The sequence below is a fragment of the Homo sapiens genome, chromosome 5 (assembly GCF_000001405.40).
Source record: "Homo sapiens chromosome 5, GRCh38.p14 Primary Assembly".
Taxonomy (NCBI): Eukaryota; Metazoa; Chordata; class Mammalia; order Primates; family Hominidae; genus Homo; species Homo sapiens.
The window spans coordinates 5,861,307-5,887,783 of NC_000005.10; the positions used below are offsets into that span (position 1 = coordinate 5,861,307).

Sequence of the window (26,477 nt, forward strand, 5' to 3'; positions counted from 1 at the left end):
ATTCATCACCTCACTTATCTATCATTTTTTGACTTTGAAATGTAAGTGTAAGGCGGCTGTTGGATTCCTGGGAAAAATCTAATACTCTTAATAAAAGACAGGCTTGAGAAGAAAGTATCCTCTGTCTTCTACATAGAAGCATATGACGTTTGAAACTATGGTTTCCTCTTGCAATGAAAAAGGTTCAATATTCAGGGTAAAAGCCAATATACTATGAATAACAGTAGGAGGGAAATTTCCTGGCTCCTTGATGACATAGATGCGCTTCTGCACTAACCTATCCTGAAATACATTATCTCCAACTTCCAGTTGTATGGGACATTGAACTCCTTATTGGTTGGGTGCTCTTTAGTATGCAGTCAAAAAAGGTTTTTTCCCACAAGGTATATATTTCACTGAAACAGCAAGTAGAGACAATACTATGAAACTCCTAATGAAGAGGCAATAATAAATTTTGAAACCATAACTGATGTCTCAAATAAATAGTTTAAGCCCTTTTCTTGAAATTATTCTACGTAGCTCATTCATTCAAAATATGCAAGAAATTCCACATAAACAGAACTGGCCCTCCACTTTCCTGATGCTTCTGTTTTTGACTTTATAATCTTAAAATAATTGGGAATCTTTTTTCTCAGAATCATTCTTCTGAAAATAATGTATGTGTATGAAAGGAATTCTGCCCTATTTCAAAATTTAATATCAGGTAGTTTATATTACCTTTTCTGATTTTAATCAAACGCTTATGCCATATGTTAATATAATTTGCATGTCAGTTTCCCTAGCAGAAAAACAAAGTCCCATTTAAGACATCTGCATCACCAACCAGCTGTCATAGTAGCCATTGGGCAAAACATGAAATCCACCAAAGCCTTCCACCATTTCTCTCGAGACAAGGTAGATTTAGAATGACATTTTTATCTTCCTTTCTGTCTATCCATCCAAAAGATATTGTTCATCTATTTTAATGTTTACTACATGCTGTTTACTTTTTAAAATAAATAGGAGAATAGTATAACTTCATTTATTTATTTATTTATTTATTTATTTATTTATTTATTTATTTTGAGATGGAGTGCAATGGCATGATCTCAGCTCACTGCAACCTCTGCCTCCTGGGTTCAAGTAATTCTCGTGCCTCAGCCTCCCGTGTAGTTGGGATGACAGGCACGTGCCACCACACCTAGTTAATTTTTGTATTTTTGGTAGAGATGGAGTTTCATCATGTTGCCCAGGCTGGTCTTGAACTCCTGACCTCAGGTGATCCACCTGCTTCAGCCTCCCAAAGTGCTAAGATTACAGATGTGACCCTCCGAGCCTGGCCTTTTTTTTTTTTTTTTTTTTTTTGAGATTGAGTCTTGCTCTCTCGCCCAGGGTGGAGTGCAGTGGTGGGTGGGATCTCGGTTCACTGCAACTTCCACCTCTGTGATTCTCCTGCCTCAGCCTCCCCAGTAGCTGGGAACACAGGTACCTCCCACCACACCCAGGTAAATTATTTTGTATTTTCGGTAGAGACAGGGTTTTGTCATGTTGGCCAGGCTGGTCTTGAACTCCTGACCTCAGGTGAGCCACCCACCTTGGCCTCCCAAAATGCTGGGATTACAGGCATGAGCCACCACACCTGGCTAGAGGCTAGTATAACTTTAGAAACACCAATTATTATAAAGGGTGTATTGTTTGTCCACTATGTATTTTTCAGTGTAGTAGGTGTTGGGGCTGCAGGGTGAATACAGCATGCTCTCAGGAAGTCACTCCCCACCAGGAGAGGCCAGCAGGTGAACAGGAGACCTGGCTTTGTGGTGTCTCTTCCCTAAGTAACACACAGCAATTGGGAAGTGGAATAGCTTTAGGTATCTACTAATACTACATGATATGGTCCTGTTCTTGTAGATAGAACATAGCTTCCTAGATGCTCAGTTCACATTCTACAAAACAAGAACAATAACAATTGTACCTGTATGCATGAAATATCCACATACAGTATTCTCTATTTTAAACAAATTTTAATGGTGCAAATTTTGTAAGAGCTCAGTTTTATGGAGAGTATAAAATTAAATCTCAGAGAATCAAAACCCATTTATTTAGCTGATAAATAATCTGTGCATGATTTTACTGAGAAATAGCGTGGCCCCATCTTTCAGTTGTGGAAACAAAACATCATATGGAAGATTTCCATAGAGAATCTTTAATCCCTCTAAAAGGAACCAGGATACATTCAGCAAACATGAGACAGTAAAGTTGTACTATTCATTAGAAACCACCCCAAGCCACAGGAGCTTTGCTATAGACTGAATGTTTGTGTCTCCACTAGAATTTCTATTTGGAAACCTAATGCCCACTGTGATGGTATTTGGAGGTGGGGTTTCTGGGAGGTGATTAGGTCACAAGGGTGAAGCCCCCATACATGGGATTAGTGCCCTTATAAGAGGGACCCCAGAGATCTCCTTCACCCCCTCCATCATGTGAGGTTACAGTGAGAAGGCACCGTCTATGAACCAGAAAGCAAGCCCTTACCAGACACTGAATCCACTGACAACTTGACCTTACACTTCCCAGCTTCCAAAACTGTAAGAAATAAATTTCTGCTGTTTTATAAACTACCCAATTGATGGTATATTATTAGAGCAGCCCAAACAGACTAAGACAGGCTTATAACCACAAAGTTCATCACTTTACAACCCAGGCTCAGAGGGCTCTGCTCGGTGTGGTTCATCAGACACTTGGGCGGCTGCAGCCTTTATCTCCTGTAGCAGGGAGAAGAGAATAGGACCGATCACACAGTGCTTTGCTGTCAGCAACGGTCACATGTCACTCTTCACATTTTCTTTGCCAAAGTAAGCGAATGAATGTGCCTAACTGAAATGGGAGAGTTCACTGATTCCCCTTGCAGGATGTGTGACAGGGATGTGGCTCACCTGTTTGGTCCCCTGGAAGCTCAAACCCCTAGGGGGAGCATGCAGAGGGTCAGGTGCAGAGGGCAGGGCAAGTGTTCTGGGCTCCTGCCCTCAGGTAGTGTCTAGGGGTGGGTGCCTGCAACCCCCGTGTTACAAAGCTCTTTCAGCTTTGCCGTCTTCAGATGGCTTTGAGTGTTAATAAGTTCAGTAGATCCTCTGCCTTATGTCAAGATCAGAGACCCAGTGTGACAGCCTTCTGAATCCCAAGCTCTTGCCCTGTCCTGAAAGTATCAGATCACACACAGGCTTGAAGGCTGAGTGCAGGGTTTTATCGAGTGGTAGAGGTGGCTCTCAGGGAGATGGATGGGGAGCTGGAAGGTGGAGGGGTGGGGGAGATAATCTTCCCCAGTGGCCAGATTCTTCTCCACCCACCCCGGTGGAACTCCCCTTGATATCCAGATGTCCCTCCCTTCGCTCTTTGTCTGCTGCGTCGTTCCACTGTCACTGGTCTGCTGGTCTTGATGTTCAGCCACTTGTGTGTGTGTCCACTAAGGTCTTAGGTTCATATGGGCACAAGATGGGGGGTGTGGTGGGCCAGAGTGATCTTGGAAAATGCAACATTTGGGCATGAAAACAGGAGTTCCTGTTCTCACTTAGGTCCTGTTCTCACTTAGGTCCAAGAGCACAGGCCTGAGGGTGGAGCCCTCACCACGTACCCCACCCTTCTCTACCCAGTACTTCCCTGCCCTCCTCCCATATCATAGCTACAAAGGAGAATGACAATGCAACCGTAACATGTACCCAGGAGGAGAGGTGGAAATACAGATGCCAGCCCAGGCCACCCAGATCAAAGGCAACACTGGCCCTTTCTTTCCCTGTCTGTAGGTGGAGAAACTGGAGAGGAGCTCAGTTTGCCTCTCAGCATGTCTCCATAGGCAGATGTCAAGATTCCTCTGCCCTTTACCTTTCCTTACCATGAATGGGTATGATATTATAAAACCATACCTTCCTCTCCTCATCCTCAGCTAGGCACTGATGACTTAAGCAGATAAAATAATTGTATGCATTCTATAAATTATCCACACATTCAATTCTCCAAGGAAGTATTTTCACCATGCAAGTAGAAATAGCTAATCCAAAATACTTATTACTTTTAATGGCAAAAGCCATCATTACTTTTGCATCAACTTAATATTTGTGTGTAAACAAGGCACTGTTTTTTGAGGGTGGGTCTTACAAAATACTTGTCTGCTTCTGCGTACCCCACCTCCAGGCCTAAGTCCATATCTTCATAGAAGCCAGTCTATTTGCCACAGTCAAGTGTTCCAGCCTATAGGAAACATTCACTTTGTGTCGGGCACAGGCAAACCACTTTCCATGAAGTGTTTCACCGCATCTCTCTGAGCATTAGTCTGTGCAACTATGAAATAGCCTGACTGTGGAAGTTGAGCGATTTCCCCAAAGCCACTGCACTAGCTTCCTGGGGCTCCCATCACAAAAAGTTCCACAAACTGAGAGGCTTAAAACAACAGCAAGTTATTCTCTTACAACTCTGGAGACCAGAAGTCCAAAGTCCAGATGTTGGCAGGGCCACACACTCCCTCTGAAGGCTGTGGGAGACAATCTTCCTTTGCTTCCTCCCGGGATTCCTAAGCTTGTGGCTCTGTCACTCCAATCTTCCCTTTGGCCATCACATGGTCTCTGTCCCTGTGCCTTCTTCTCCTGTCTCTCATAAGGACAGCAGTCGTCATTCTATGTGAGGTCCACCTAGATAAGCCAGGAGGATTACAGCTCAAAAACCTTAATTACACCTGAAAAGACCCCTTTTTTCCAAATACACTCATGTGTACAGGGCCTGGGTATTAGGATGTGGACATATGTTTTTGAGGATGCCCATCCAAGCTACTTCAGAACATGTTAACTGGGACTGTGTCATTCCAGGGTGTAAGCCCTCAACCACTAAGCCAATGTACCTTTTTTTTTTTTTTTCCAAACAGGGTCTTGCTCTGTTGCCCAGGCTGGAATGCAGTGACACGATCTTGGCTCACTGCAACCTCCACCTCCCAGGCTCAAGCTATCCTCCCACCTCGGCCTCCTGAGTAGCTGGGACTATAAGCATAACCCACCACTCTTGGCTAATATTTTGTTGTTGTTGTTGTTGTTGTGGAGACAAGGTCTTCCTGTGTTGTCCAGGCTGGTCTCAAATTCCTGGGCTCAAGCTACCTGCCCATTTTGGCCTCCTAAAATGTTAGGATTACAGGCATGAACCACTGCACCCAGCCCAGTGTGCCTTTCTATAAACGTTGTACTCAGCCTGTTGCTTGACCAACTGAATCATCACGGCCCCAATTACTTTTATTTAAAAACATTATTAATCAAAAGTTGTGGGGAAATAAAAGACTGTAAGCCACAGTCCTGCTCTCCAGGATCTTAACATCCAGTTGGGATACTTGGTCTGACCATCCAAGAAACACTAGCAACATAGGAAGTGTAGCCTCCCACCTGAATTGTACAGAAAATCTAGCAATATTTATTTTGCAGAGAGGTACTGAGTAGATTAGGAGAGGGAGGGCCATGTGCAGAGCCCGGTCTGGAGGCCCTAGAGTGGTCCATGTATGAAACCACAGGATCCCACGTTAGGATGTTGGTTGTGAAAACAGAAGGGCAAAGACTAATGCGAGAAACACTGTACAGGAACTATAACCTGGTGCCAAGGATTCAAGATGGTGGCAGCAAGAGTGAAGAGTAAAACAGGTAGGGCATCTAAGATTGGAGTCTGGGGACATGAATGTTGACCAACTCCCTTTCTGGTTCAGGTGTATTGTCAAAGCATGGCCTTGGGTCTACCTTTCAGCCTCTCCCTTTCCCCCTGTACCTCTCAGTGGCCAGTGTTCTGCCTGCCCTGGGTCTTCCGCCAGCCATCTCCCACTGCTCAGCTATCCTCATCTCATGGGACCACACCACCCACAGCCATCACCCTTCAACTCCAGGCTTCTTCCCCATAAGCCTGCTTTTGGCTTCATACCACTGTGTCTTCTCTAAGCCCATCTCAGAATCCCCTTCCTTGAGTCATTAATGACCTCCTTCTGGCTGACTCTAAAAACATTCTGCAGTCACTTTTCAGGATTGGCTTGGGGAGCTGCCCCTGCTAGAGCCTCTACCTCACTCCGCCCCATCTCATCGGCCCCTTTATTGTCTCCTGCCCTCTTTTTCCATGCAGTCTCCTGCAGGGACTCACTTGTAAATGTGGCTCAGCCCCAGGGCTCTCCATCTTCCCACTTCTACCCCTCTGCTCGTTTGTGGGTAGAGAGGCTGTTCACCTTCATGACTTTGGCCTCTGGCTCTGTGCTCAGTACATGAAGCCCAGACTGCTTTCCAGAGTACATGGTGCAAATAACCCTGCCCTTTCAGACAGCTACACTATAAACTCATTGTAAAATGGCTCACCCTCTGTGTCCCTCATCTCCATGAGGACAACCAACACCCCTTCAGTTACTGCACCCACACCTGGATTTAGGTTTCTACACCAGAAACCTGAGTTCAAGCTTATACACAGAAACCTGTGTCCAGGTCGCTACACAGAAACCTACCTTCAAGTTCCTACACAGAAACATGCATTCAAGTTCCCACACAGAAGCCTGCATCCAGGTTCCTACATAGAAACCTCTGCCTGCACAGGTGTCTCCTCACCTCCTGAACATTTCTGACATTGATTCTTGCTCCATTTCCACCACCACACACTGGGACACTCATGGATCTGGCCAGGATGCCTCCCAATAAGAGTCCTGTGTCCAGCCTTGACTCTCTCTAATCTCTACTACTGGAGAGAGTGTTCCAACATACACGTGAGATCTTGTCACCCCTTTCCTCCTTAAATAATAAAAACAAATATAGAAACCACTTAATGTTTCTTTATAGCTTAAAAGGTAAAATTTTTAAAAAGTCTTTCATGATCTGAAATTTGTGGAAAACTCTGGTCACATCTCTCCTCATCCCCCATCCATCCCTTCACTCTCCCCACACCCATGCAACATCTCAGCTGTGTGCCTGCTGACCCCTTGAATTCTCTGAGCAAATTGACAGGCTGCTCTCTTTTCCCCTTCAGATCTCAGCCTGAAACACTGTCTGCAACCTGGATGATTCCTTCTCCTGCTGTGTCTCTCAGCTCAGCACCCCTCAATGAAGAAGTTCTCTTTAAACCAACCTCTCTGCTTTCCCCTGCCTTCCGAAGTTTTCATCTCGCTCACCCTGCATTCCTTTTCAGGGTCCTCCATGTGAGCACACAGCATTCCTTTTCTCTAGAGGATTCAGCAGTAAGGTGCCATCTTGGAAGCAGAGAGCAGCTCTCGCCAGACTGAGTAGCCCTCGGTCTACTCTTTGCTTCTAAGGTGGAAGCATGCTGGCACCTTGAACTTGGACATCCCAGCCTCTAGCACTGTGAGAAAATGAACTTTAGTTCTTTATAAATTACCCTATCTCAGGTCTTCTGTTATGGGAGCCCCTTAAGGACTAAGACACTCAGTGATGCATTTTAATGTAGATTTCTTTTTTCACTCTGTGCTAAAATGCCGGTAGTGTCTATTATCAGGACACTTCTCCTTTAGTTCTGGGAACTTTCATTTCTTTGAAAGTTGGGATATCAGGAGTCTTTTTTATGACTCCTGTAAGAAATTACCACAATCTTGGTGACTTAAAACAATAGAAATTTATGATCTTACATTTGAAGAGGCCAAAAATTCAAGATCAAGGCATTAGTAGGGCTATACTCCTCCTGGAGGCTGTGGGGGATGCTCCGTCTCTCAACTCTTGTAGTTTGTGTGGCTCCTGGTGTCCCTCATGGCGACACTGCTTCAATCTCTCCCCACATCTTCACATGGCCTTCTAATCTGTGTCTTACAAGTGTCCCTCTGCCTTCCTCTTATAAAGTCAGTTATGGTGCCACATAGCCCACCACATAATCCAGAATAATCTCCTCACTTCGGGATCCTTAATCACATTTGCAAAAACCTTTTTCCCAAATAAGGTAACATTCATGGGTTCTAGGTATTTGGACCTGGACTTCTTTGGGAGCCATTATCACCCAACCAGAGCTGTCTTCCTTCAATTCTACCGGTCTTGTAATTCTGAACTTTCTTTCAAAGTTAATGTTGAACCAGCATCTGACTCTTCTGTTTTCATTACATTTTATTGTTTTTCCACATTTGTTATCTTTCACTCTCCTCTGGGAGTTCTTCTCCATTTTTATTCCTCTTATAATATTCTATTGGTTTGATTTAATGTTCAGCTAACATGTTTAATTTGAGATTTCTTCTTAGTCTTTGATGTTTTTTCATAGCATGGTGTTTTAGTTTTAGGAATGCAAGTTTACGAATGATTATCTGAGTTTTCTTCTCTTGTCCACTCTCTCTGTTCATACTGGGCTCTATTTATTTTTCTGTTTTGTTTTGTTTTGTTTTTCATTTCATTTTGGAGGTTGTCCAAAATGTGTACTGATCCTTGGTCAGCTATTTGTATTTAAAAATAAGGCAGAAAGCAAAAAAAAACAAAAAACAAAAAACAATGGATGCTTTGTGCATGCGGGCATGCAGGGCCAGGTATGGGTTGGGGTAATTTGTAAACTGGGGACTTCCACTGTTCACTGATTCTGGGGGAAGCCAGGTTTTTCACAGGGAAAAGTTCTAGAGCTTCTCTGGTTCAGTTTTTGCACAGGTTAGAACTGAACAATGAGAACACTTGGACACAGGATGGGGAACATCACACACCGGGGCCCGTTGTGCGGTGGGGGGAGGGGGGAGGGATAGCATTAGGAGATATACCTAATGTAAATGATGAGTTAATGGGTGCAGCACACCAACATGGCACATGTATACATATGTAACAAACCTGCACGTTGTGCACATGTACCCTAGAACTTAAAGTATAATAATAAAAAAACATTCTCTTGCTTGAGGCTGGAGGAGGCTTGGCTGCTTTAAATAGGGAGAGGACACCTTTTTCTAGAGGCTTTAGTCAGTACTCTGTTTCTGCCCCGGGCCTCATGCCTCCATCCCATGTCACTGGTGCCTGAAAGGCATGGGTTTTTCTGAGTTCTTGGGTCAGAGGTGGTCACTCTATCTTAAGTTACTGCTTCCTCAGTTCTGATAAATCAGGCTCTCCTCCAAATCCCCATGTTTTCTTCAAAATTTTGAAAATACCTCAGGTAGGCAGCTGTTTTCTATTATCTTTTCTGTGTGGTCTTATACATTTTTTGGTAATTTGGTAATATTTGAGGAAGAAATGGAAATAAATGTCTGTGCTAAATTTACTGTGTTGAATATTTTGTCTCCTATAGTTTATATAACAATTTCCATACAATGGACACTTTTTCGCTGGCTTTTCACTATTAAAGCTGTCTCAGTGAGAATTATATTTGAGGATCATTATTTGTTTCATATCTGTTTCTCTTAGTAAAGTGTAAACACTAAGGGCAGAAAGAGACGTCTGTCACTCAGTATCATAAATGTCTCTGGCACAAGACACGAAGTAAACAATGAGTTGAAATTATTGAGCGAGTTTTTCCTTAGGACGTGTTTCGAGGTCTGGAAGGGCCAATGACAAGGGTAAGAACATTGCAAAGTTCCCGACGCATAGGCCAAATTGTTTTCCAGGACAGTTTTTTACACAGTTTTCCAAGGTTTTCTTTCTTCATGCTAAAAGAGATCAAAACTATGGGAGGCCCAGGTTGCAGTGAGCCGAGAATGCACCAGTGCACTCCAGCCTGGGCGACAGAGTGAGACTCCGTCTCAAAAAAGAAGAAGAAGAAGAAAAAAGAGGTCAGAACTGAACACCAACTCGTTTTAGTGCCTAGTTCCTTTCTCAAAAACTTGGCACACTTAAGTTCCTCCGCCCCTCTCCTGGGACAAGAATTTTAAGCTCCTAGCTACTGACATACTGAGTTGACAAGATCAGAGAGACAGCTATTTATTTGGAATAAAAGAAAGGTCAAGGCTTCTCAGATGTTTCACTGTGTTATCATTTAACCTTAGTTCTCATCTTGCATTTTTAAAACCTTTTTCAAATGTATGGACAGAATTGACTTGGAGAGAGTCCTCTCATTTAGGCAAAAAAATACATCTGGTTAGAAACCCAGTGGTCTTTGTTGTTTCTCTTACAACAATTAGGCTGATAATCCAATGTGAGAGAATTCAAAATTGTAAAGTCCATGACCTTATAAGAAAATTAGGAGTGCAGTCTGGGGTTCTGAGAGATTGAACTTTTGAAATTTCTTCCAAATGTATTTATTTTCACTGAAATAAAACAATATGCCACAGACACTGAAGAAAGCCCTCACCCATGACACTGTATATATCTGTTTAATAATAATGGAGACCGTGTTTGCTGTGTGTTTACTACATTTTGCTTCATACAAAATGTTCAAAACTCTTTTATTTCCCCTGGTACAAAGAAATGCTCGTAGATTGGAGTTTTATCAATAACATGTTCACTATGAATCAGTTTTTCAGTTTCTTTTCTTCATTCTAGTGTTTCATGCATCTCAGAATTGATCTCCCAGGGGTTTCGTTCTCATTCTTGCTCCTGCCCATAATATTGTTGAAGTTTCCCACTGGAGAAGTCAGAACGTGGCCAAAGGTGGATAAATGATGTGGAGTTGTGTCCAAACTAGAGCGTGGGTTAAGGTCTGACCTCAGCATCACAGGCTGGGAAACGTGATGTGTTGTCACACTGAGAAGGTCCAGTCCATCAGGTCATGCTCTTACAAACCAAGCCCCGGATGGGCATATAAAGCCAGCAGATCCTCCCACCTCGGACTCCTAAAGTGCTGGGATTACAGGCATGAGCCACAGTGCCCAGCTGCTAGTTACTTCTCTTACTATTTTCTGTCTTTTCTTTATGGAGATTTAATTTTCTATTATTTTTCTAACTACTTGAGATGGATGCTTACAACAATTCTTTTCAACTTTTTAATTTTCTTGAAATATACATTTATATCTCCACATTGTTTTCAACATGCTAGCTACCTCCCACATGTATTAGTTTTTTTATAATTCAGTTCAAAGCATTTGAAATTCAATGGGTTATTTAGAACTTTATTGCATAATTTCCAAAACCAAGACGTTTTCCAGTTATCTTTCTATTACCAATTTTTAGCTTAGGTATGATGTGTTCAGAGACTATACCATGCGTGATTTCAATCTTTGGAAATCAGTGGCGACTTGCTATATGGGCCAGAATATGGTCATCTAAAAATACTGTTTTATGTGCAACTGAAAAGCATGGGATTCATGAATTGATGGATGTAGTGATCTATGCATGTTACTGTTTTGCTGGCATCTTCTATACCTTTCCTAACGGTTTTGTCTATTTCTTCTATTGTTTGTAGACAGAAGTTTGTTGAGATTTTCCAATGTGATAGTGGATTTCCCTATTTCCTTTTTAGTTCTGTAAACGTGTGCTTTATGTTTAGGCTGTGTGTCATTAGTTATATACTAAGATTGATTTGTTATGTGTTCCTGATGAATTGAGACTTACCATTATGGAATGTCACTCTCTCCAGTAATATGTTTTGCTGTGAAGTCACTTTTCAGCCATATGAATATGGTACAGTGGCACTTCTTGGTTAATATTTACATGGTGTTAATTTTCCCCATCATTTTTGTTCCAAGCTTTCTCTATTTATATCGTGTTAGTGTGTTTCTTACCAGCAGTGTGTACTTGTGCTTGTTTTTCAGAATGAAGAGCTTTGTTTTCTTTACCCTTTAATTCATATATTAGTCAATTTACATTTAATATGACTATTAATACGCTTGCTTTTTAAAACTCCTGACTCTTATTTTCTAATTGTCTTGACTATGATCTTTTTTCTTTCCTTCTTATAAAATTATTGAAACTATTTTATTTCATTTTCCCTTTCTATTATATTTACACGCTTTCATTCTTCTGGTGTTTACCTACTATAAGGTAATTACCTGTGGAAATTACAGTACACAACCTGAACTTTCTAAATCTGTTTTCTGCTTCATTTTTGAACTCATTTCCAAGAAAATGAGAACCTTGGTATATTTTCACTCATTTACCTTCTTCTTATTTTTACACTATTATTATTTTAATTTAAATTTTGCATTTTTTGAAAACCCACGTTAAATTATTTTTTACATATATGTGTATATATATATATATATATATATATATATATATATTTTTTTTTTTTTTTTTTTTTTTTTTTTTTTGAGACGGAGTCTTGCTCTGTCTCCCAGGTTGGAGTGCAGTGGTGCGATCTCAGCTCACTGCAAGCTCCGCCTCCTGGGTTCATGCCATTCTCCTGCCTCAGCCTCCCTAGTAGCTGGGACTACAGGCGCCTGCCACCATGCCCTGATAATTTTTTTTTTTTTGTATTTTTAGTAGAGACGGGGTTTCACCGTGTTAGCCAGGATGGTCTCGATCTCCTGACCTCGACTCCATGGTAAATTATTAATAACTATTTTATCCAGAACACATTCATGTAAATTCACCACATGTTTATCATTTTCCTGTCATCTATTCTCCCTGCTTCTGTGTTATTACCTGGGGTGATTTTCTACCTAAAGGGGATCCTTTGGTACTATATTCTGTATTTCACTTTTATCTTTAAAGAATAGTTTTACTGGATATAGAATTCTAGATAAGCTTTTATTTTTAATTGACCCTTTGCTGAGCTCATTCTATGGCCTTCTGTCTTCCTTAGTTTCTATTGAGAAATCAACTCAATGGTTTAATTGTTGCTTGTTTGGATATGCTGTGTTATTTTTCCTGTGGCTACTTTTAAATATTTTTCATTCTCTTTAATTTTTTTTGTTGTGTATATTTGTTTTCGTGAATGTTTATTTTGTGAGGGGTTGCAGGGCTTCTTGAATTAGTTTGCTGTGGTTTTGCATCAGTTTGGGAAATCTCTTGGCCTTTAGGTCACTTCTGCTCCTTTCTCTTTTTCTCTCCTCCTGGGACTCTAATTGTGTGTATGTAAGACCATCTCCCTACCTCCTGCAGCTTTTACTCTCTCTTCTGACCCCATTCTCCATCATCCAGCCTCTTTTTCCTGTGTGTTTCATTCTGAATGTTTTCTTTTCCTCTATCTTCCAGTTCATGGAATGTTTTATTCGTCTGTGTTTATTTGGATATTAAACACACTTATTGTGTTCTTATTTTTATTTTTTTATATACAGAGATTCCACTTGGTTCTGTTTCACAATTTTCATTTTTTTAACCAAAATGTTTAGTCTTGCTTTTATATTACTAAAGATGTTAGGCACATTTATTTTAAATTTTGTGTCAGACAACTCTATTATCTAACTCCCCTGAGTCTGTTTTTATTGTCTGTCACTTTTAGAAATGTGTTCTTTTCTCATTATTTGCATAATTGCCTATGATTAAGTATTAAAAATTGATAATGAATAAACCAGAAATAATTTAATCTCTAAGCTATGAGATCTTGCAAAGAATATTTTCATTTGCCTCTGGTGGGTGGATCTGGGCATTGGTAATCTAGGGGCTGTGATGATTGAAGCCTGGAGTTCAGTCTATGTAATCCAGCCTGTTTTTAGTGTGCTCATTCTCTCATGGTGTGGTCCTTCAGGTTCTCAGCTCAGCACACGGAGAACTTACCAGTGACCACCCCACAAGGCGGGCCCTGGACTCCAAGTTTTGTCTCTCAGACCCAAAAGGATGACAAAAGCTTGTTTTGTTTCTTAGTCTCTCAACTTTCTGGAATCAGTAGATGTTCCTAGAGGAAAGGAAGGTCAAAATGCTGGGCTTGCCTTTGGAGACTTTCTTCTTCTCACTTGTCTTGTCCTGTAATTACTTCAGTACCTTGCTGGTGCTTCCATGTCTTTCAGCAAAATATATTTACCAGCTTTTAAAGTTGTTCTGAATGAGATTAACTCTCCAAATTACTCAGTTTGTTTTTATCAAAACAATGTTTTTATGGTTTTTGGCATGTTTAACCAATGATTGGTCTCAGTGATTTGCTAATTAATACATGTGATTGAAATATCTGAGTTTAAATTTTGCTTTAATAGACAGGTGCATGATCATATTTGCAATATTTTTATTTCTAAATCTTCTCTTCACATTTTATTTTGTAAAACAACTTCGACATCTAAATGTTAAGTTAAAAAAAAACAGCTTGAGCATCTACGTTTGGATACCTGCTACTTATTAAATCCTGTATTTTTACTGTTCACTTCAGTATGGCAAGCAAACACTGACATGAATGTGTGCATTAAGGAAAAGAGCACTAAATATCCATACCACTACTCATATTACATGGATTTTGAAAACTACAATCCAAAACTATTATGCAACTTTGCATAAAGCATTTCTTATATATTTGACCACTGAATTTTTATTATATCACGAAGACACATGTATAGATGACATAGGAAGTGGGATTTGGGAAGCTAACTTATTTGCCAACAGATGTTTAATTCAATATGGTTTATATAAATTCATAATGAGTAGTGGGGACAATTCCACAAGCACTTCTTTGCTAATCATCTGTCACAATAACATGGAAGACTGAAGGCAGCACACTAATGTAGGCAGCCTGCTGTTAAATTTCAGACTGACGTGGATGGTGTGCCATCAATTGTGAATCCCCTGAGGGTCTTCCTTCTTCCTAGCAGTGACCTCTAGTCATGTGCTTGAGCTCAAGACTGCTGGGCACCCTGTGGTCAGAGCACCTGCCCACAAAGAGAATGAATTTGTCTTAGGGTGACTACCTTCTTGACATATTGGAGTGCATTAATATTACATTAGAATCTGAGGCTTGGACAGATCTCTGATCCCTCCATTTTCTCTCTCTATCTCTCTCTTCCCCCCTCCATGTCCCTGTCTCGTTCTCTGTTTTCCTGCATTCACTCTCTCTCTCTCTCTTTCTCTCTCTCTCTCTCCATCTCCCTCTCTCTTTCTCTGTTTTCCTCCATTCATTCATTCCTCTCTCTCTCCCCTCCCACCATCTCCCTATCTCTTTCTCTGTTTTCCTCCATTCATTCTGTCTCTCTCTCTCTCTCCTCTCCCTCCATCTCCCTATCTCTTTCTCTGTTTTCTACACTCTTTTTCAAATGCTCTACTTTCATAATGACAGCACTCCTTTATCTGAATGTCCCATTCTTTCTCAGGATCTTGCAGAGATACTTTTCATTCAATCACATGAAGGAAAGCTTCTACGAACTTTCATGGTTCTCCATGTTTGCCATTATTGGTTATTTGTCTATTTGTTTTGGAAAATTTTAACTACATTAAAAGCTTGTGTCTCTTTGGTAACAAATTTCCAGCAGTCATTGCAGTTCCTGACATAGTGTATACATCTAATACAGTTTGATTGAATAGATCTATGAGTCACTGAATGAATGAGATGATTTGCAATTTTGCTAAAGTAAAAATTTTCTCCACGGGGCCACTGGTGCAAGTCTCAGAGTTTGAAGGCCAGGGAACCTGGAGTTCTGATGTCCAAGGGAAGAAGAGAAAAGTGACCCAGCTCTGAGGGGTAGGGGCAGAGAGGGGGAGAGAGAGAGAGAAAGTATGTGTGAGAGAGAAGGGGAGCAAGGGAGAGAGAGAGAAGGGGGCAAAGGGGAAAGAGAGAGAGAGAGAGAGAGAGAGAGAGAAATTTATATTTTCTCTGCCTTTTTGTTCTATCCAAGTCCTCAGCCAACTGGATGGTTTCCCCCTACATTGGGTAAAGGTGGTTCTTCTTTAACTTAGTCCATTGATTCAGGAGTCAGTCTTACAAAAACATCCTCATAGACACACCCAGAAATAATGCTTTACCAGCTATCTAGGTATCCCTTAATCCAGTCAAGTTGACACCCAAAATCTACCATTACACCACATGACCCATTTTTGTATTTTAAACAATTTGGTAGATCTCTGTTGCCTACCAGTGATGAAGACAACTTCAGTCCAGCCGACAAAAACACTGTTTGTCTCTCTGCTACTCCTATCACTTGTCAGCAGCCACCTATTCCCCAACCACGGAGAGCCTTATGTCCCTCCCTGAGCACAGGGGCACCTCACGTCGACTTGCCTTGACCTATGCGCATTTTTTCCTCTTGTTTATAACCAACTTTCTCTTCCAGTCCTCTGGAAAATGCCAGGCTAACCTTTAAGATTTATTTAATTGTGACCTCAGAGGCCAAAGAATGAGCTCTCTATATTAGATTGAACCTTATGAAATGGATACTATCCAACCATTTAGACCTTCATAAAGGCAATTTCATTTGACTCAACTTATTACATAACTCCATTAACGTGTCACATTGAATTGCAACCAACTGTTCACACATCCATCTCCTCCACATGCCTGGCACAGAACCAGGACATGGTGGGCACTTGTGTTTCGAAGAAACAAATACATACCCCAGGTGCCTCTTCTTTCTCTTTTCTAACTCCTCTTTCTTTTCTCTTGTTATTTATTTATTTTTCCACAGAAGAACCTGGGGCAGTATTGGATACTGTTAGGACTGGGAGAGGACAGTATCAGGGATAAAGATCCTGTGTTCTCGCTCTGAAGCCCTGGTGGAAGCTGTCACTCATCAGGAGCCTGCTGGAGCCATCTCTCAGCTTTGCAGAGTGCAGGGATGTCACTTTTGATGTGTGAGGGTTGACAAGGCTATGCCTGTTTCTTCCTTTGTATACCCCCAGTTTTCAGAAGCATGCATTTTAGTAAGCAACCCTACTCTTTCTCATTCTATCTGTCTTTGGTTATCATTTAGAGTAGTTACTGATTATCACCTAGAAGTCTGAGAGAGGACCTTGAAATCATTGCTTCCTTATGCATCCACTCTATATTTTGGCATTTTACACCAAAAAAAAAAATGCAAGATCTTTGGGAGTATCCCTTGTTAGCATATATCTTCAAGCTTCAATTTGAGACTCTCGATCTTGATGTTTGGTTGTTGGAAATAATACATAACTTCCATGAGTGCTCTTATAACTGGAAAAATTAGGTTCAGAGTAAAGTTCAAATAGTATCAGTGTAACAGCTACCCCAAAATTTTTCTTTTTCTTGTCTTGGCATGCAGAAATCTGTTCTTATTTGTACCTGAGTCATGATAATTTAAAAATCAAACAAAGATAACAAATATGTACGCCATCAGGGAAGGATAGTGAGCTGATATGTATTAAGTTATGTCTCTATATTGCCTGCATTTAACATATCACACCTTGGGAGCCTTTATTGTTTGAACACTGTATAGGTGAAGAAATGGGATTAGTAAATTTCATGTGGTCAGGAGGCACCGTGAGCCTCTGTCAATGTTTTGCTTCCCGTATTTTTGTCCTAGGCGATGCTCTTCTATGTAGTGACAAAGGCAGATCACCAATGAGAACGGCTCATTTCCACTTCCCAAGGTTGTTGGGCCACAATGGGTCTCCAAGGATCCACAATGAGCAAGCCTCAGAAGTTAAATAAGGGATAACTCTAGATGATGGGATGGAATGTCGATTTTCCTTTCTTTTTCTCATTTTCTCTTTTGTCTCGTTTCCCTTTTTCTTCTTTTTTCACTTTTTCTTTCTTTTGTCTACTCCTTCTCTTTATTATTTATTTATTTATTTATTTTGGAGATGAAGTCTCGCCCTGTCACCCAGGCTGGAGTGCAGTGGTGCGATCTCGGCTCACTGCAACCTTCACTTCCCAGTTCAAGCGATTTTCCTGCCTCAGCTTCCTGAGTAGCTGGGACTACAGGTGCACAACGCCACGCCCAGTTAATTTTTATATTTTTAGTAGAGACAGAGTTTCACCCTGTTGGCCAGGATGGTCTCAATCTGTTGATCTCCTGATCCACCCGCCTCGGCCTCCCAAAGTGCTAGGATTACAGGCGTAAGCCACCGCACCCAGCCCTCCTTCTTTTTATTTCTATCGTTTCTTGTGTCATTCCTGTCTTACTTTCTGCCTCACTGCCTGTCTTTTGTTATTTCTTTCCTGTTTGCTTCTTTGATCTTTTACTTTTTCTTGTATTTTTTTGAATGGTGGAGAGGTTGTGGCCCAGTCAAACTGGTTCTTCTGCTTTTGATATATAAGCAATCTTTAACCCAATATTGAATGTACTTAGCTTTGTAGAAGGATGCAGGGCGGGGCTACAGCAGACATTGCATCTTCCTCTCCTGAGGAAGCCCAGCAGCCACCAAGGTGCAGCTCCCCATTCCCATACCCCTGCCAGAGGTGAGATACTGCGGTGATGTGTTTAAAGGTAAGTTGATGCACTCACTGGGATTCCTGGTATCTTCATGCCAATTTACATCCTCCTCAGCCCAGGTGTGGTCCCACAGAATAGGGATAAGCATAGATGCAGCTCTGCATGTTTATATGATTCAGAATTAGTGCTAGAAGAATACAGATCCCAAGGTTATAACCCCAGGGAGGCCTATGTCAGCCTGGCCCGACACAAACTCATTACTTGCTGTTAGTTACTTATCCCTTCTTTCCCTCTCTTGATGCCTCCTTTACAATTGTCATTTATCGCAGCATTGACAGATGTTTCTAGTCTTTCGACATCATGACCATGTCTTTATTTTTTTCCATGTGACAATCATTATATATTTTTTAAAACGCCATTAGAATGATGCAGACATCTTATTCATTCAAAACATCTGTATTTTTAAATTCTGACATTTGGCCAAGGCACATCACTTCCTTGGGTCTCAGTTTATGTATCTATACATTGTATAGGTTTGATTAGATGACATCTGTGACCCCTTCCGGATCACACATCCACGTGTCTCTACTAGCAGTGCTGGGAAACATGCAGCCATTAGCCTGGAATGCTCTCCTGGCTTTATAAATCCCGTCTTAGCCAGATCACGTTGTATGCACATGAAGCTGGGTCATGCTTTCCTCAGAGATAATAGCTAGAAAGACTGGAGAGTTGACGTGGGACATGAATATTACATGATTCAGTTATGTGGATCCTACTAAAGGAAAGCATCTCTCATTGTACTAAATAAGACATGGCAGCTAAGTAATACTGCATTTTGCGGAAAGCAATGAACTTGTGCGGTATCCACATGAGAGGGCATGTTACATGCCACTGCGGAAGGGGCAAGACTTGCCCCTATCAGAAGACTGAGCATTTTAAGGGAGCAAAAGGATTCTTGCTATGCCATCAGAATTCCATTATCGCAACTTCTTAGGACCTTGGGAAGGACTTTAAAAACCTATGAGAAGACACACAGGATTTTCAAATTCCTGCAGAGAAAACCCAGTGTATGAAGGTTATCAGCAGATGGGCTCCGTGGCCTCATGTGCAGGAGACCACATGTGTCTTAGAAACCTAGAAACCACAGTGGGCAGAGAGGGTCATCTCCAAGATGTGCGTCAAAACTATTTATTGCCGACATTGTAATATTAGCAACTAACCAGACTGCACTGAATGTTTAAATAGCTAAATCTTCTGTAAATTATCCTTAGCTTAGTGACAGTGCTTTTCTTTCCCTGACCAACAAAGTTAAAGTACCACCACCCTCCCCACACTGCCCGCCCTCTCTCCAGGGTTATTTTTCTCCAAAATATGTATTATCTGAAATACCCAGAACATTCCTGCTTCAGAAGAGCCTGAGTCTTGGTCAAGAGTGCCTGCAAGTAGGACAAACAGACTCAGAGAAAGACCTATTTGACAATTTTACATGAGGCTGGCTGTGGTTATGCAATCTGGGTTTATGTAATAGGGAAAAGATGGAAAGATTACAGCTACAAAAGATTATTTTATAAAGGAGATGTACCCATTGAGAAAAGAACGTAAAAAATGGTCTTAAATTAGAGTATGAGAGAGCTGAGGAGAATTTCAATAATTATTTAAAGCCTCTAACAATGCAGGTTGTTATAGGGACTAAGGTTTGACAGTAATGGAATCTACAGTCTTTCTCCTTGGTGATTAGGGCAGATACCAGCATGGAATTGCAGGTTCAATTTACTTTTCATGGAGTAGGAATAGATTCTGAACGTATCTTCAAGGCATGAACTCAGTGATTACATAAGCTGTGCTCAATATTCTGCACACTCATATCTCAGGATGAACACAATTTTGGATCATTTAAAATGTCTATAATGATATAAATATTGAATTATATAGAGGAAAAGTAAAGCCATCTTGAGAGATAAGTTAAATCTACATGTGGGTCCCCACAAAGGGGAAGCTCCATCAACCAGATGAGGACGGCTGCTCTCAGTGTGGTCCCACAGCAGCCGCCCCATGTGCTGTCAGAGTGGATGATGGTGGTGTGAGGAAAGAGCCAGCCGGGGCCCTGCATCTGAGCCATGGAGCCACCTGCAAAGCCCCCAAGGGCAGAGATGGTCCTGCAGCTCCCCCTAGTCAGCAGCCCAGGTAATCCGGCCAAGGCAGGACAATTGACATGGTGCAGGTGAGTGATGGCTGTGAGGTGAGAGTGGGTGGGGAAGGCGACAGGTCAGCCAGGGAGTTCTGACTGTGTCATAGCAAGACAGAGTATTCTTGGCCAGAGTATTCTTCATGACTCCCACATACCTCCTTCAGAGCTTTACTCAAACATGGCCTTCCCAGGAGACTTTCCCTGACCAACAGAGTTAAAGTACCACAACCCTCCCCACACTACCTGCCATCTCTCCAGGGTTATTTCTCTCCAAAATATGTATTACCTAAAATACTGTATGTTTCACTGATATATTTTATTTATCATCTGTTTCTTCGATCCAAGAACTATGTCTATTTAATTCACAGAGATATCCCAGTGGCTAGAATGGCATCTGACATACCATAATAAATATGGATTGATTGAATGAGTAATAAGACAGCAATTACAAGTATTTTAAATATCCAAATTGAATCAACAAGCACAACCTCCCATTAAGAAGGATCAAATTTGGGTCAACACATAAAAAAGCTTAGATAATTGACAATAAAACCAAAAGCGTTAAAGTTTTTCCAGATTAAAGCATTGGATTTACCGGCGTGTGTGTGTTTGCATTTGTATGCCTGATTTTCATTTAGAAACTGTAGATAATTCTTAAACAGCAAGGAATTAATAGAGAAAACTAAATTTCTACAATCAGTGGCTTCTCAGGCTTCTCTAATTAGAAAGGTACAAATTATCTTGACAATCAATTATACTTTGAGAATATAAAGGTAACCATTGATTTAAAAATGTTAGGATAAACTATTTTGCAAAATTAGAATGTATCTAGTAGTTTCCTTTAAAGGAAGAAACCTCTGCATATCCCAAATCTTATGGAATTTGCCTTCTAAAAAAATAAAAATCATGGCTGTGAAAGGTATGTTATAAATTCCCTTAGAAAAAAATTGTCTGATAAAACTTTTTGTCTTTCTGAAAATGCAACTAAGAACAGTATCAATTAAGACATTTACTATTGTGAACCTCAAATATTTATTTATTCCTTTAGCTTACTATCCTCAAGCTTGCCATTCATTTATTCATTCATTTAGTTACTCAGCCAGCAGATATTAGATATTAGTCAGTAGACATTTAGTGAGGGCTTATTATATGCAAGACAAGGCAGTATATATTATAGAGGATAAATATAACAGTCTTTGAGAAGTTTATCTTGCGCAAGGGAAACAAGCTACATTAACACCTCCTCGTCAGTCCCACAATTCCAAACACACTATTCTGTCAGGCAGCGTGGAAGGAGCTGGCCCTAAGTGATAAGAGGGGTGTGCACGGGGAGTGGTGAGCAGCGTGGAGAAGCTGGCATGAGAGAGTGCCAGATGCAGCAATGGGGACAGGTTGGCCACATGGCAGTGGGTACTAAGTGCCAGTTGAGAGTTTGGATTTGATTCATGAAACGTACCAACATCTTGGCATGCATATAATGTGTCAGAAAGATAACTGGGTTATCCAGCCTAGATGCATCTGAAAATTTGGGTTGCTTTAAGATGCAATATGTAAGTCCATAGTTCCTACCAAAAATAATGCAAACAAAAGCCTGTAAAATGTTGAATTTTTGGAGTAGTAATTGGATTGGATGTTGTTTCCAATATGTCTGATTTATAAAGACAGGTAGCTACCTCAGCGGTGGCCAGAAATAGAAAATAATTAGCACAGGACACAGAGCATTTGGCCCAAACCTGTACATAAGATTGTTCAGGGTGCCCAAGCTCCATCTGAAAAAGAAGCTTTCTGAGCCAATCTGGGACATCAGCTGGTCTGGAAGGCTCTGGGTGGGCAGCTCTGTAGCCCGGGTGCTTTAGAAACTTCAGAGCACACACACCCAACGTGCCTAACAAATGCCATCATGTGGGCATCGCACTCTGCTCATGACTCAAGCAGAAAAGTAATTTCTGCCGCCTGTGAGAGACTGAAAGTCACAGACAATGGGCCCTTTTTCCAATCAGGTTTTCTGCTCTTTGTTTATGCTCAGCTAACTCTCCATCTGCTCTTTGGTAAAGTACACGAAGGCAAGGCCTTTCTGCTGGCTGCTCAGGAAACACAGGGACCTGCTGGGCTGTGACCTCCTCTGATCCCACCTCCATCAGCCCCAAGGCTCAGCCGCAAGAATGGGCTACAACCAAGGAGCATGTGGCTTTGGCCACCCACATAGGTGCCGAACAAAAAGGCCCAGATGGGGCAGCAGGGGTTGCTTGCCAGGGGGAGCTCCCTGGTCTCCCTGGCTTTGACTTAGGAGTCGGCACTGGAAGACACAGCTCAACTTGAAACGTATTTTCCCACAAGTTGCTTACTTATTCCAACCTATCCCATCTGCCTAGTCTCCAACCAAGTGGCTATGGCCTCCCTTGAGAAGAAAGTGGGGGCTGACGGGCCCTGTGAGGAGTCAACTCTCCTGCAACATATGTGCATGTGATCAGAATTTACCTCCACCATCTTCCCAATGCATCCAGAGAGTTTTGCTCCATGGTAAGGACAAAAGATGAAACTAACTCTGTCACTTACTAAAAGAAATGATGACTTCCCTATTCTATGCAGGCCCAGAGGGCACAGGTGAACCCACCTAAATCCAGTGTGTCCTCTTAGAAACTGACCCAAGCACATGCATTTCTGAAGTGGGCTGATGGCACCATCTTCATCAGTAGAGAAGAGCAATAAGAAAATCCCAATGTGTGCAGTAGAGGAAGGACACTGATACTTTCGCTTTGAAAGGTGCCCAGAGGCCTGCAACTAGTCGGTAATTCTGACCGCAGTGTCTGGGATTGACTTTCCTTCTGCCTCTATGATAATTGATTGTCAAAAATTTCTAAATTAAGACTGAGAGAAAATCAATCATGCATTCTGCTTTGATATTCACATGTAGGCTCTATTTTTCTACCTTAAACATAATAATGTAATAACTTTTCCAAAATGTATAGTAAAAAATGTTATTTGAGTTAAGGAGTGTGTTCTTAACTCTCTTCAACACAGATTCTGATTGTCTTTATTTCTACAGCAGGAAAGGCTGCAGACACACCTTTCAAGACCTGGATGTACTAGCAGCTGACTTCTGCTCTACCTGCAGCTTTAAAAATGGGCTGTGCTGTCCACAGTGTATCCATGGCTGGCCTTGGCAGGGCTCTCCAATCACCTGAAGCCTAGCCCCATGGAGAACTAACAGAGCTCAATGGGGGGCTTCATGTTCCTAGGAGAATTAGGGAGGGGACCAGGAGTCACGGGATTTCCCACGTGCCAGACTGCAATCCTGTTGGGTACCTACCTGCCTGCCCCTGCAGGGATGGATGCTCTTGCACCTGCGCTCCGGGAGCAGAAATGATGGGGAGCTTCTGACCCTGCTGCATCCTTGGTAAGTTGCAAGGTGGCGCAAAGATTTGGGATGTTGAACAAAAGTGGTTTTCTAAACCTTTTTCAGGTGTCTGCTGGGACCTCTGTGCTTGTCTGGAACTCCTGAGGCACTTTCTAGACAAGCTGGGGTGTGGTGGGCAAGATCCCAAGATCCAGGTCCCTCTCCCATCTCCCACGGAGCACTGGCTGTTTATCCCCAAATGTGCAGGTGTCTGTACCAGTCTCTCTCTCTCTCCATCTTTCTTCCCTCACCTCACTTCCCCCAGTCATTCCAATCTAGACCCCTATTCTCCAAATAAGTTTTTGATTTTAATATCCTGTGAGAGGAAAAATAAACCCTGGATCCCTCAAGTAAAGTGATCAAAGCTGGCCTTTGTACTAATTACTTATTCATTGAAAAAATCATCATGTTCTATGATATTTAAGTATTAAGCACTATTTGAGGGAGAAAGAATTAGTTATTGATCCTGTCTCCCAGGTTTCCACCATCTGGGGAGAGAGATAAGATATCCAAGGAATCACCTGCCTCAGAGGAGAGGAGCCTCCAGCCCTGGAGCAGCTGGAGAGGCCCAAGTTGGCCTTTAGCCCAGGGCAGGGGTCTTATGTAAAACAGCAAGAGGGGACTTTCTGTAGCAGGGCTGTGCTCACCCTGTGTCCAGAGAGCTGGGGAATGGGTTTTGCTGAATGGAAGGAGTTACTGGAATGAGGGTGTCATGGGGCTGAGATGAGGGTAAGGGTGGAAGGGGGGTGGCGGTGTGTGGGTTTTTCCTTCCATTGGTGCAGAAGCAACAGTATCTAAGACAGTGACCAGGGCCTTGGTGGTCCATGATTGCAAGGTCTTGGGGGACCCTGGAGGGGATTCTGGGGATGCCCAGGGTGCCGGTGGGATGGCCCAGGGCCCTCAGCCCTTTGTGCAACTGTCCCTTAGCATCCACTCCATCAGCCTTCTGGGCCACCACAACCAGAGCACCCAAACCCAGATGCCAGCAGCAGCTGCAGTGGCCCAGCTGCCTCCTGAGAACCTCCTTAGAAAGAGGAATTGGAGCATGGAGGCCCTTATGGTATAAGGGGGCTCCCGCACTGCTCTCACCCGGTAGCCCCAGCATCGCTGGCTCCCAGGGTGGCCCCAGGGCTGTGGCAATCGTGGGTCATCTGGGCCGTGCCTCCGTGTTCATGTGATTTTTAGGGGGTTCTGTTTCCTCCTTACTCACTAATCGGAGCTGGCTAAGGTGGAGGATTCTCATGTCCTGAAAGGTCAGGTTTTAAAACAGAGTTCAAGGGTGCTGTCTGAATGAAACAATCTCTCTCTCTCTCTCTCTGCCTCCCCGCTTATTTTCCCCCACCCCTCCCTCCCTCTCTCCCTCCTTTCCTGCCCTCCCTCCCTTTTCCACAGTAATCTGCTCCAGGACTTGGGGCTCCATTTCAAGACTCTTCTAACCCTCTCATTGCCCTCCCTAATTTGTTCCTATATTTATTTATTCTGAAATCACTGAACATTGCTTGGGCTGCAGGGACCAGAAGTCACAGGCCTTGGCCCGCAGACCTACGGTCGAGACGGGAGAGCCGGGCCCACGCCACGGACTGCAGCCTGCCGTGGACACGTGAACTGGGCCAGGCGGCCACGAGGCCGAGGGAAGGGGTGGTGTCCGCACCTGCGGAGCCTTGGAGACATTTCCCCAGGAGATGCCACTTGGGACGCCCCTCTCTCCCACACCCTCTGCAGGGCGTGGTCCAGGGGGCGTTCCTACGGCAGAGAGGAGGGTGGGGGGTACATGGCCTTCATTTACGTGGGTCTCGAGTCACATGGGTGACATTTCTGGTTTTGAGATTATCTGATGGACTTGCTTTCTCACTGCTCAGGTTTTCCCTGGAGACACGAGCTGCGTTTCATCCACACAGCAAGGCCTGGGGGATGGCAGGTTCCTTTCTATTCTTCCCAATTTTCATTGTCCCCTCAATGCGTCAACATCCACAGGGCTTGCAGAGGCTGTCTCTGAAGCATCACGAGCCGGTCCCAACACGAACGTGGAGGAGCACGCAGCAGCATTTCCTGCAACACCAGCCTCGCTTTGCTGGCGCACAGACCCAGGCATCCGGCCGGGTCCCCGCAGCCCGTGTGCCCGCTCCCGCCTCCGCCAGCAGAGGGAGCGCGCGGCCCCGCCCAGGCACCTGGCGGTGACACCTGCCAGCTTCAGCTCCTGCCCATCAGCGCTGTGCCAGGGGTGGGAAGGGGTGGTGGTGGTGGCGGGGGCGGTGGGGAAGGGGAGTCGCTCCCTTTACCCCTGCCGTCCCGGGACCTCCCCGTTTGAGAACCAATCACTGAGCTGAGCGGCGACGCTGGCTTCCCACCGACCACTTCGATTTCACCGGAATGCTCGAGTGGGGCTACAGTTCCACCTGCAGCCCTGAGAGCTCTCACCTGCCCTCGAGGACGGGTCCTGTGGGCCCGGTGGACTCCCAAAGCGGCGCGCTTCTTAAAGAGTGAGCAGTTCTCTCCCCCTGGATGCTTCATGCAGGGAATGGAAAACTCCAGAAAACTGAGGGGTCTGGATGGAAGCTTTGGTGGGGCGTCCTCCACCCACCCGGTTTCCATCAATAATCCCCCACCCCTTACCCAGGTCCCTGCATTGCTTGATTTTTGCTTTTGAGTTTTTCTTTTCTCTGTCCTTATGTCCCTAGTAACTGGATCATAACGATGAATTGTAAATAACTCAAGCATCGTTCTGTCTCTATTCTTACAAATAACTATACTACAACCACCAAACTTAGGCACCAGAAACTGGGTTGAGCACCAATGTCAGTGACACGTAGAAGTCATTAGGTTTCTCAGTCCCTAAG

The 26,477-nt window shown here is 43.0% G+C and overlaps 2 annotated features.

Annotated features, from left to right (window-relative positions):
* Nucleotides 20,110–20,404: a silencer, noted in NCBI's record as "tiled region #9370; HepG2 Repressive non-DNase unmatched - State 13:Ctcf, and K562 Repressive non-DNase unmatched - State 20:ReprD". NCBI's record gives its function as "represses a minimal TATA promoter and a strong SV40 promoter by Sharpr-MPRA in HepG2 and K562 cells {active_cell/tissue: HepG2 | K562}" and the evidence as "EXISTENCE:reporter gene assay evidence [ECO:0000049][PMID:27701403]".
* Nucleotides 25,775–25,844: a silencer, noted in NCBI's record as "silent region_15895". NCBI's record gives its function as "represses an Ori minimal core promoter by ATAC-STARR-seq in GM12878 lymphoblastoid cells {active_cell/tissue: GM12878}" and the evidence as "EXISTENCE:reporter gene assay evidence [ECO:0000049][PMID:35858748]".